At 46.2% G+C, this 12705-nt stretch overlaps 1 protein-coding gene across 2 annotated transcripts in view, besides 1 other annotated feature; it reads left to right on the forward strand.

Moving 5' to 3' along the window:
• RIN3 (Ras and Rab interactor 3) overlaps nt 1–12705 on the forward strand; it is a 175214-nt gene that overhangs the window by 91839 nt on the left and 70670 nt on the right. For both annotated transcript variants that reach the window (NM_024832.5, NM_001319987.2), the window contains one exon: nt 9788–9860. In NM_024832.5, coding sequence (NP_079108.3) covers nt 9788–9860 — 73 coding nt within the window. The remainder of the gene's footprint in view (nt 1–9787; nt 9861–12705) is intronic.
• Nucleotides 5385–5679: a silencer, noted in NCBI's record as "tiled region #14383; HepG2 Repressive non-DNase unmatched - State 23:Low". NCBI's record gives its function as "represses a minimal TATA promoter and a strong SV40 promoter by Sharpr-MPRA in HepG2 cells {active_cell/tissue: HepG2}" and the evidence as "EXISTENCE:reporter gene assay evidence [ECO:0000049][PMID:27701403]".

The following is a 12705-nucleotide window of genomic DNA, read 5'->3' on the forward strand; positions in this document are numbered from 1 at the left end:
TTCTTTCCCTAGAGTCAGTGTGATGAAGGATAAGTTTAAGTTTTCATTTGTTGAATACATTAGCCTCAATCACTGGGAACTTGCAGTAATTAAAACTGGGCATATCTGAAATTTACCTTTGCACCATCTGTGAAGAAAGCATCTAGGAAGGGAAATAATAGTGTCAATAAAATTACAGAGAGGACTTTGGCCTAGATAAGGATAATAACTGGTTAAAGGCCCACAATTCATTAATGATATCAATAGAGAGAAGAATTGACCGTTAATTAAAGCAGATTGGGAATGGCCCTATTGAATCATTTATGTAACACCCATTATGTGCCTACTATTTTCCAGACAAGCTTGGATAGCACTATTTTATTCTTAAATATTGGAAAGACCCTATTAAGAGGATGAAAAGACAAGGTCAGATGCAGTGGCATGCACCTGTAATATAAGCTACTTGGGAGGCTGCAGTGAGAGCATCCCTTGAGCCCTAGAGTTCAGCACCAGCCTGGGAAGCAGAGGGAACCCCAGAGCCAGTCTCAAAAAAAAAAAAAAAAAAGAGGACAAAAAGACAAACTACAGAATGGGAGAAAACATTTGCAAATCACATATCTGACAAAAAATGTGCATCTAGAATATATAAAGAACTCTCTGCCAGGTGCAGTGGCTTATACCTGTAATCCCAACACTTTGGGAAGACAAGGTGGAAGGATTGCTTGAGCCCAGGAGTTCAAGACCAGCCTGGGCAACATATTGAGACCCCATATCTACAACAACAATAACAACAAAAATTAGCTGGGCATGGTGGTGCATGCCTGTAGTTCCAGCTACTTGGGAGGCTTAGCTGAGAGGATTGCTTAAACCCAGGATGTTCAGGCTACAGTGAGCCATGATCACACCACTGCATTCTAGTCTGGGTAACGGAGCAGGACCCTGTCTCAAAAAATAAATAAATAAATAAAGACAAGTAACCCAATCAAAAATGGGCAAAGGATCTGAGAAGACATTTTTGCCAAGAATATATGGAAATAACCAATAAACACATGAAAAGACTCTCAACAGCACTAATCATCAGACATGCAAATCAAAAAACCACCATGAGATACACTTCACACCCACTAGGGTGACTATCATAAAAAAGATGGACAATAACAAGTGTTGACAAGGGCATGGAGAAATTAGAATCCTCACGGTGGGAATATAAAATGGTGCTGTCACTTTGGAAAACAGTTTGACAGTTTCTTAAACATACAGAATTGCCATATGACTGAGCAATTCCACTTCTAGCTATATACCCAAGAGAAGTAAAAACATCCACACAAAAACGTGTACACAAATGTTCACAGCAGCATTACTTGTAGTAGCCAAAATGTGGAAACTATCCAAATGTCCATCAACTGATGAGTGGAAAAATACAATGTGATATATCCATACAGTAAAATATTATTCAGCCATAAAGAAAAATATTCAATTAGAAAATGGGCAAAACACATGAACAGACATTTCACCAAACAGGATATACAGATGGCAAACAATCACATGAAAGGATGTTCAACATCATTAATTATTTGAGAAATGCAAATTAAAACCACAATGAGATATCACTCTTCACCTATTGGAATGGTTAAAATAAAAAGTAGGGATAACATTAAAGGCTGGTGAGGATGGGAAGAAACTGAATCACCCCTGCATTGGTGGGAATGTCAAATGGTGTGGCCTCTCTGGAAAGGAGTTTGGCAGTTCCTTTGAAAAGTAGAGGCTGGACATGGCAGCTCATGCCGGTAATTCCAGCGTTTTGGGAGACCAAGGTGGGAGGATTGCTTAAGGCTAGGAGTTACCCATCTCTACAAAAAATTTAAAAATTAGCTGGGTGTGGTGGTGCATGCCTGTGGTTCCAGGTACTCAGGAGGCTGAGGATCACTTGAGCCTGGGAGGTTGAGGTTGCAGTGAGCCGTGATGGCACTACTGCACTCCAGCCTGGGCAACAGAGTGAGACCCCTTCCCCAAAAAAGGATGGGAAACTACAGATGGCCTTACCACATGACCCAGCAATTTCACTCTTGGGCATATATCCCAGAGAAATGAAAACACATTTTTCACACAGAAACTTACATGCCAATGTTTACAGCAGTTTCATGCATAGTAACTAAAAACTGGAAACCATCCAAATGTCCTTCAGTGGATGAATGCCTAAACAAACCCATGGTACATCCTTACTACAGAATATTACTCAGCAGTAAAAGGCAATGAACTGTTGATTCACGGAACAACTTGGATGAACCTCAAGGAAGTTACACTGAAAAAAGCCAGTCTTCAAAAGATATATACTTTGTGATTCAACTTATATGATGTTTGTGAAATAATGTGATCATAGAGACTGGAACAGATTAGTTGTCAGGGCTAGTGATGGGGAGGGGGTAGATGTGGCTATGAAGGGATAGCACAAGGGAGCTCTGTGGTGTTGGATGAGCTAAATATCTTGATTGTGGTGACTGTGCGAAGCTACCTATGTGATAAAATTGCCTAATACTATACAAACACACACACACACAAATGAGTGCATATAAAACTGCTGACATCTGAATGGCATCTGGGGATTGCATTGAGGTCAATTTCCGGGTTTTGACATTGTGCTCTAATTATGACCGATGTTACCACTGGGGGGAACTGGGTGAAGGGTACACAGGACTTCCCTATTCATTTATTTGCAACTTCTCGTGAATCTATAAGCATTCCAAAATAAACCATTTTATGAATACAGTTATTTATTTTATTAATGCAATTAAATAAATATTTGAGAACTGGCAATGTACCAACCACCATGGTATATGCTGGGGGTTCTGTGCAAAACAGAAGATGCACACACAGTCTCTGCTCTTGACAGTTCGTTTGCATTGCTGAATGATAAAACTGAATTTCTCTCTCTCTTTTTTAGCATTTTTTTTTTTGAGACAGAGTCTCACTCTGTTGCCCAGGCTGGAGTGCAGTGGCACGATCTTGGCTCACTACAACCTCTGTCTCCTGGGTTCAAATGATCCTCCTGCATCAGCCTCTTGAGTAGCTGGGATTACAGGCACCTGCCACAATGCCCAGCTAATTTTTGTATTTTTGATAGAGACAGGGTTTCACCATGCTGGCCAGGCTGGTCTCGAACTCCTGACCTCAACTGATCTGCTTGCCTCAGCCTCCCAAAGTGCTGGGATTACAGGTGTGAGCCACCGTGCCCAGCCTCTCTCTCTTAGCATTTTTAAGTTGTTTATTAAATTATACAAAAAACTTGCATTTAAAAAATTTATTTATTTTAATTTGGGGGTACAAGTGGGTTTTGTTTACATGGATAAGCTCTTTAGTGATGATTTCTGAGATTTTGGTGCACCTATCACCTGAGCAGTGTACACTCTACTCAACATGTAGTCTTTTATCCCTCACCCCACATGCAGCTTTCCCACCCAACTCCCCAAAGTCCGTTCTATCACTCTTATGCCTTTGCGATCTCATAGCTTAACTCCCACTTATAAGTAAGAACATATGATATATAGTTTTTCCATTCCTGAAAAACTGAACCTCTTTAAAAACAAAAACACCTAATCGCTTTCAGTTCTTCATGGATGTTCCATTTTGATGTTGAGATTGTGAGTGCCAGGGGCTGGGCTGGCATGTGTGTACCCAGCATCTCTACCTGCCCCTGACACAGCCTTGAGGGTGAGTCACTGGTGAAAGGCTTCCTTTCTTCTGAGCCAGGGCAGAGTCTGTTGTCACCTGCTGTCACCTTGGAGTGCATTGGGTTCGGCTGCCTGGTGCCTGTTCTCACACCTCACCTCTTGAGACGGTTTGGACAGGGTCTGGTATGTTTCCCCTGAGGCTTTTGCTGAGGGATATGGGAGAATGTACTCAGCGTGACAAGTCTCAGGAACTGCTGGAGCTGGCAATTTTGTTGGGAGGAGTAGGCTGGCCGGCTCCCTGCCCAGGGCAGAAGCGGGTGCTGGACGGCCTGAGGCTCTATCAGAGCTGTCTTGGCAGGTTCATGGGTGATGTGGTCTCCTGGGCAGTAGGTGGCACGGGGGCTTTTCAGCTGTACTAGTAGGGTTTTGATCTGCTACTGAAAGCAGAGTGAACTGAGAGGACACTGGAAACCAATGGGCTTTAGAGAAAAATCTTGACTGTCTCCGCTTACAGAAGTTGTATATGCTCATTATAAAAAATCGCAGGAAAACAGAATGCAGGAAGTGAAATTCAGTCTGTGTGTGTGTGTGTGTGTGTGTGTGTGTGTGTGTGTGTGTGTATGTATGTGTGTTTCTGGTTTTAATAACAGCTTTATTCAGATGTGTTTATTTAATGTATCAATATCTTTCTACTAGATAACAGCTTTATTCAGACGTGTTTATTTAATGTATTCAATATCTTCCAAGATCAAGGCGCTGGCAGAAAAAAAAATTTTAAGTATTAAATATCATACAATTCAGCAATTTAAAGTATACAATTCGATGGCTTTTAGTGTATCACAGAGTTGTGCAACCATCATCACAGTCAGTTAAGAACATTTCATCACCTCAGAAAAGACACCTTGTGTTGTGTAGCAGCGTGAATGTACTCAATGCCACTGAACTGTACACTTAAAAATGGTTAAAATGCTAAATTGTGTATTATTTATAGTTTACCATTATAAAAAGAAAGAAAAAAAGAGAATGAATGAAGCCCATACCATTTAGCTAGCATCCCCCTATCTCCCCCTACCCCCAGCCCTAAGCAACCGCTGATATCCTTTCTGTCTCTGTTTATTTGGCCCATTCTGGATCTTAACACCTGAAGGCCCCTTTCGCCCAACTGTTCTTTACGGGTCCTCACTGTGTGGCAGGCATGGTGTTGGGCTCAGGGCAGGGGACAGGGAAAAGTGAGACCTGCTCCTGCCCCGGCTGTAGTCCAACAGCCCCTGCCTCTCACAGTAAAACACATGGGCGGCATTTCCCTGATGGGCATTTTGGGCAGTGCACCCTGTGTGTGGCTTTCTGATGGGAGAGGGTGGAATCCCTGGGAAACAAAGACTTTGGTGTAGAAGGTGGATCTAGAGCTGGACTCTGGAGCTGCAGGGATTCTCTGTGCAGGACAAACAGCATGAGCAGAGGCAAGGAGGTGGGAGTGAGGACTGTAGGAACAGGAGATAGGGAAGAAAATGCCCAGCCAACAGACAGGATTTCTGTTGAGGAGCAATAGGAAATGAGACCCAGTGGGTCCACAAAACCCTTTCCCTGCACCCCTGCCTCACACCACATTGCCTTGCATGTGTAAAATGACAGTTTAGTAATATCCCCATTGACTGAACACACGGGCACTGTTCCAAGCCACTCCCATGGCATAATTTATTTCATGCTCACAGTGATGTTTATGAGGTGGTGTAGTCGCTTCTTATGGCTGCCACTGCAAATTACACAAACTAGGAGCCTTAGAGCAACATAAACTCATTCTCTCACAGTTCTGGAGGCCAGAAATCGGAAATCAAGGCGTGGACAGGCTTGGTTCCTTCTGGAGACTGCGGAAGCATCTGTTCCATGCCTCCCTCCTGTATTCCGGTGGTTGCTGCCAATCTTTGGCATTCCTTGGCTGGCATTCCTTGCATCACTGCAATCTCCATCTCCAGCTTCCCATGGCATTCCCTTCGCTGGGTCTGTGTCCCATGCCCTCACATGACCTTCTTTTTTTTTGGAGACAGAGTCTCGCTCTATCCCCCAGGCTGGAGTGCAGTGGCACGATCTCACCTCTGCCTCCCAGGTTCAAGCGATTCTCATGCCTCAGCCCCCCGAGGCACCTGCTACCACTCCTGGCTAATTTTTTTTATTTCTAGTAGAGACAGGTTTGACCATGTTGGCCAGTCTGGTCTCAGACTCAGGTGATCCACCCGCCTCGGCCTCCCAAAGTGCTTGGATTACACGTGTGAGCCATCGCAGCCAGCCCATCACATGGCCTTCTTATGAGGACACCAACCGTTGGATTTAGGGCCCACTCTAATGCAGTATGAGGTCAGCTTGGTTACATCTACAAAGAATCTATTTCCAAATAAGGTCATATTCACGTGTGTTAGAGATTCACACGTATTCACATGTATCACATTCACATATCTTTTGCAGGAACACAAGTCAATCCTCAACAGGTGGGTACTTTACTACCCCTGTTGTGTTCGTCTGTTGTTGCATTGCTATAAAGAAAGAGACTGGGTAATTTGTAAGAAAAGAAGTTTAATTGACTGTAGTTCTGCAGGCTGTACAGGAAGCATGATGCTGGTATCTGCTCAGCTTCTGAGGAGGCCTCAGGAAACTTACAATCACGGTTTAAAGGAAAGGGGGAACAAGGTGTCTCACGTGGTGGGAGCAGAGCAAGGTGGGGGGCAGGGGCCAGACACTTTTAAACAAGCAAATCTCGTGAGAACTCTATCAGAGAACAGCACCGAGGGGATGGTGCTAACCCATTCATGAAGGACCCACCCCCATGATCCCATCACCTCCCACCAGGCCCCACCTCCAACACTGGGGATTACAATTGCACATGAGATTTGGGTGGGGACACAGATCCAAACCATATCACCTGTTTTATAGGTGAAGAAACTGAGGCACAGAGAGAAGCAACAACCTCGGCACATGCTCACGGGCAGGTGGTGTGGCCTAGGAACCCACAGGCAAGACACCCGGCCGGTGCAGTACAGGACAGGGGGCAGTCTAGAAGCTAAGCCCACCACCCATCAGAACAAAGGATTGTTTGTCTTGTACCAATCTGCACTCACCTTTGTTCTAGAAAGGTGCGAGGCTGTTTGTTGGGACTTCCTCAAGTCCAAGGTGTCCCTTTGGGGCCCTAGAGGGAAGGGCCATCAGCCACGTGGTAAGAGGTCCAAGACCCTGTCCGTGATGCCCCTGTGGCCTTTACCCCTCTAGGGTGTCTTTCCCAGACAGACTTTTAGTAAACATTCATCAGTCTCCCATGCACTGTGCTGGATGCTAAGGGAGACTCAAAGATGGACCAAACCCTGCCCCAGCATGCAGGGTCTCCCCGTGTGTTGCCTTCGTGTGAAGAGATGCTGTTTGCATAGTCAGGAATGGAAAGGTGGCAGAAAGGGCAGGGGCTGGGGCCAGGGGAGAGGTTTAATTGCAAAGAAACAAGCATGAGCCTTAAGCATTACTTATGATTTTACAAATCTGGGGTTTTAACAGTAAAACAGTATTTGGGCCTCTGCGTCTAGCGTCGTGTTGGGCCCTGGCTGCCAAAGCGAATAAGCCCTAGTTCCTGCAGTAGCAGCTAACCCAGCAAGGGGACTAGATACCAAAGCCTTGTAAGGATGCTGTTTCAGGAAGGGAGTCCAGGGCTTTGTGTAAAGTGCCAGGGGGCACAGAAGGGGGTGTGACTGACTTCGTCTTCAAAGTTTATCTGTGTTCTGCAAAGATCAGGCCGTGCCTCAATGGGAAGGAAAGCCGCTGATTGTTGAGTATGCCTGGTATGTAGGCTGGGCTTTTTGTGTGCATTGCCACTAACCCACTCCAGGCATTCCTGAGGAAGGTCCTTCCTTCCCTTCCCATCTTACAGATGGAACCTCTGTCTCCCCTCTCTGCTGCCGGAAGTCTTTTGACCCCAGCCTCCCTTGGCCACACCTGTGCTGCCCCTTGTGGAAGGAGTCGGCAATGCACCAGATGCGGGCACTAGGTGGCACTGGGACGCTCGGGGCATCCTGTGAATTCCAACACCACCAGCTAGGGTCTTTCAGACTTAAGTCATTTGTAGGCATCCTCCAAATACCTCCTGTACCACCATCTAGTTAATATTTTATTTAAATTCTCTTTTAAAATTTTGTCTCTATCTCCTTGCCATAGACAAATATAATTTTTTTAATTATGTGAACTGTTAAGAACAGTGTTTGATATGCAGAAAGAAGGCAAATATAAAAATGAAGCTAATTGAACACAACATGTTGGTTCGCGTATCACTATAAGCATCTCACAGACCTCTAATGCTGTGGAGTGCAGTCCTGGGCTTTGAAAACAGGTCCGCAAACTGATGTCACCTATGTGCGTGTGGCTTTAGGGAAGAGCTCCTTTCCCTTTACAGGTGGAAGGACAGAGGCACTGAGGGGGGAAAGGGCACGCTCTAAGCCTCATTGTCTGTTCCAGGCTCAGAGCCAGACCTGGAAGCCGGGTCCTGCCTTCCCTCTCCATCACATGGAAACTAGAACCTCGGGAGACCAGGACCACAGTGGGACATGCACATGTTTCCTGGCCCCTCTGGAGCCAGAGAGCGCTCATGTGGGGCTCTCACGTGCAGGGAGCATGACCATTTGAGTGTGAGGATGAGTCAGGAGTTGTGGGGCAGGTGCCTGTGGGGCACTGATGAACAGTGGGACCTCCAACAACCTGCTGAGCCTCTCTGGGCCCTTCGCCCTGGCTTTCCCAAGCAGGGCAGAGCATGGTGCCGTGTTCTCCACTGGTCAGTCTGGCCCCAGCTGCAGGCACTGACGGTGGCATCCTGGCACCCTGCCCCTCCGAGGAGCCCCATCCACCTTGGCATGGATTTTGAACAAATGCTTTGATCCCTCTTCCTTGCCAGAGCTGTAAAACATCAGGGTAGCCCTCGCCCTTGGGTGAGCTGTGCAGCCATTCAGGTTCTGAGAGGCCCTGGAGATCTGGGTGACAGGCCAGTGGCCCCACTTCAGTGCCCCAGACCCATGTTCCTCCTGGAGGCTGAGGCAGAACTGGGCAACACCCTTCCTCCTGGCCTCTACTGGGCCTCAGAATTGCCAAGTTCTAAGACTGTTGCTTGGGATGACTGTGATCTATTAAATGTTTAATTCTGCATTTACAGTCTAGAAACTTCTGTGTTATTTTGTCAAAAATGATGAGTGTATATTAACACCAGCTATCCTAATAGTGATATGGTTTGGCTGTGTCCTCACCCAAATCTCACCTTGAATTATAGCTCCCATAATTCCCACGAGTTGTGGGAGGGACCTGGTGGGAGATAATTGAATCATGGGGGCGGTTTCCCCCATACTGTTCTCCTGGTAGTGAATAAGGCTCACGAGATCTGATGGCTTTATAAGGGGAAACCCCTTTCGCTTGTCTGTCATTCTCTGTCTGCCATCATTAAGACGTGCCTTTCGCCTTCCACCGTAATTATGAGGCCTCACCAGCCACATAGAACTGTGAGTCCATTAAACCTCTTTATATATATATATATATATATAAATTATCCAGTCTCTGGTATGTCTTTTTTTTTTTTTTTTTTGAGACAGAGTCTCACTCTGTTGCCCAGGCGAAATGCTGTGGTGCAGTCTCGGCTCTCTGCAACCTCCGCCTCCCGGGTTCAAGTGATTCTCCTGCCTCAGCCTCCCAAGTAGCTGGGATTACAGGTGCCTGCCACCACACCGGCTAATTTTTTGTATTTTTAGTAGAGACAGGTTTCACCATGTTGGCCAGGCTGGTCTTGAACTCCTGACCTTGTGATTCGCCCATCTCAGCCTCCCAAAGTGCTGGGATTACAAGCATGAGCCACTGTACCCGGCCCGGGTATGTCTTTATCAGCAGCTCGAAAATGGACTAATACAAACAGGTAATCTCCTGAAATCTCAATGGATTGACAAGGAATTCCATTTCTCACTTACCTAAGGTCCAGCTGGCAGCTGATGTGTATGGGGGCCGCATGCAGCCCAGCATGGGACCCAGAATGTGTGCAGCAGACACGCCCCCCGACCCCATCCTTGCCACCTCCTTCCCCCATTTTCCTTGGCAGGATACTCACCTCACCCAGGGCCCTTCTTGTGTCTCCCCAGTATTGTACCTGGAAGGCTCGGCTCTTGTGTTTGAGGACATCTTCAGATTGATTGCGTTCTACTGTGTCAGTAGGTGAGTAGACCCGGCCCTGCAGGAGGTTATCTGGTTGTAGCAAACATCACATGCAACCCTGGGTGGGTGCAGGGGACTTCACAGGGAAGCCCCAGAGGGAGGGGTGTGGCCCAGAGGATGCAGAGAGAGGGCACAGGCCCCTCTGGGAACCACAGAGGATGTGTTGGCTCTGAGGCTTTCTCACACTATCTGATAAGAGCCCCTCCCTTCCACACCTGCCCCTCTGGCTCACGGCCTGTCTCTCAGCTTCCTGTATCATCAGCTTCAAGGACAGCCTGGAGTCCTGCGTGGACCAGGCCTCCCATTGCAGGGGTTCTAGAAGAAACTTCCTGTAGGGGCAGCAACAGGGGCTGATCCCCCTTCATGGGAGGTAGCTTGTGATTACTAAGCAGCTGCTGGGTGGAGCGGGTGTCTGCTAACCACCCTGAGAACTGCCTGTTTATTCAGAACTGGTTTTGGGTCAGTAAGAATTTAAAAATACACTTTGGTGCCATAAGTCAATGACTTAAGCTACGGGACCTTGACAAGGGCTGGTTTAAAATGGGGTGGTATGTGTTGGGGTCCAGCAGTGGGCTCCAGGCCCACAACCCCTGCTGCCTCTGAAGAAAACCATGCTCAACCTAGAGCACCCCCTCCCCACCTACCAGGACCCTCCTGAGTCCAGATGGGCAGGAAAAATGAGGCTGATAATGTCACCGGTGGAGGGTGTCCGGGTTCTTGGTGTCTTGAACAGAGAATTGGACAAAATGCACAAAGCAAGGAAGGAATGAAGGGGTTTATTGAAAATGAAAGTACACTCCACACGGTGGGAGCGGGCCCAAGCATAGGGCCTCAAGGGCACCGTTACAGAATTTTGGGAATATTAAATACCCTCTAGAGGAGTCCACTGGTTACTTGGGGTACACCCTATGTAAATGAAGAGGATGACGTAAAGTTACAAAGTCTTTTACTTGGCCTACACTGTATGGAGAGGATATTTCCTGTTATAACTGAAGTGTGAATCAGCCTTATGTTCCCTGCCTCCAGACCCTATTTTTCCTGCCTCATATCTTCCCTGAGAGAGGTGATCCCCATAAATCTTTATAGGAGGCAGAGGGACCAATGATCTTTTTTTTTCTGTAACTGCTTCATGCTGGCTTGGGGTGTAGTCCCTACCTATTGGGGATCAAGGAACTCTCACCCTGCTCTGTATAGTGGAGGCAGGATAGCTTCTTGATGGGCAGGGTTGGTGTATTCACCTGCAAATGGCTGGAACCTTTGTTGCTGTTCATCTGAAGCTTGATGGTCTCTATGCGAGAGGAAATGAAATTGGTTAAAAGATTTAATGGGAACTTCAGGGGGTGGATACCTATGCTGTCAAGAATGTTTGTTACAGAGATTTGCAGGAGAAAAGAAGAAAACCTGGTCTGTTCTAAAACCTATGTGTTTCCTTAAAGTCTTAGCACAAATGATACCATTTTGGTTTGGTTTGTTGGGGCCTAGTGCATGAGCTTAGTCCAAAACAACAGCCTGCCAGAATTTTGTTTAACAAATTCCTGGCCAGGCACGGTGGCCCACACCTGTGATCCCAGCACTTTGGGAGGCCGAGGCCGGTGGATCACTTGAGGTCAGGAGTTCGAGACCAGCCTGGCCAACATGGTGAAACCCCGTCTCTACTAAAAATACCAAAAATTAGCTGGGCGTAGTGGCGGGCGCCTGTAATCCTAGCTACTCAGGAGGCTGAAACAGGAGAATTGCTTGAACCTGGGAGGCAGAGGTTGCAGTGAACCAAGATCGTACCATTGCACCCCAGCATGGGCAACAAGAGCAAAACTCCATCTCAAAAAAAAAACCAAAATAAATAAATTTAAAAATTCCCCCCTTTTTGGTCACGTTCTCACTTTGGTCACTTAGGTGAGAACGTGACCAAAACTTAGGGCCTTAGTGCCACTCTCTGTTACCATCATTTTGGGTTTCTGGTCTTACTTAGCCCATCATTCATAGGTTACGGTGTCCTCATGGTCACATATTTCTTTCAGCTCCTGTTATTCCAGTTGGAGAGAGACCATATGACATTCTAGAGATGGCTGCATGCAAGCATTTAAAACCTTTGAGAGAATACAGCCCAACAGGGAAACTATCACTATGACTATTGGGAGGATAATAGTAAGAAATTGGAGTATGCTCCTTACCCAAGGTCCCCACAAGCCAAACCTCCTAAAATCAAAGAGACCAAAGAATGACTTAACTAAGCAGTTTCTTTGTTAATCCCCTAGCACTGAATTTCTATAATCTTCATTTGCTGTATTTCTCCATAGGCCACATGTGCCAGCAGCTGCACAGATATGTCTTTGTTCAGCCAATTCTATCATAACTTTCACAAGAAAATTTAAAGTCTGTTGTGTAACTGTAGCCTTTACAGTAGAATTTGCTGTAGAGCCTGTCATAAGGGATATATTGCTAATCATTGCTTCTTTTACTTTAAACCATGGAAAAAGGACCTAATAAATTATGCCCTTCTAGAAGAGTGAAGGCCTCCTGGCAATGATATCTTTAACCTGTGATGTGGGTTAAGAGAAATGAACCAATGTTTCGTTTCTGACTGATTGTGAGGCAGCCATAATGAGGTACCATTAAAGTTTTTTTTAACCTGCATTGGGCCTTTATCCTTTATCCATCAAAGTATAAGGTTCTTCATGTATAAGGCTGGCTGCAAACTCCTGCACGAATAAAAGTACACCCCATAAGTGCACAAAACAGACCCCTTTTCCACTTCTATTGTTCACAGAGGCATAAGCAAGGGAAAATATTCAAAGATAAGAGTTTCATGATAGTGGAGGCCTTAATCTGTGAACTTGGGAAAAGC

This window comes from Homo sapiens, chromosome 14, assembly GCF_000001405.40.
Source record: "Homo sapiens chromosome 14, GRCh38.p14 Primary Assembly".
NCBI lineage: Eukaryota > Metazoa > Chordata > Mammalia > Primates > Hominidae > Homo > Homo sapiens.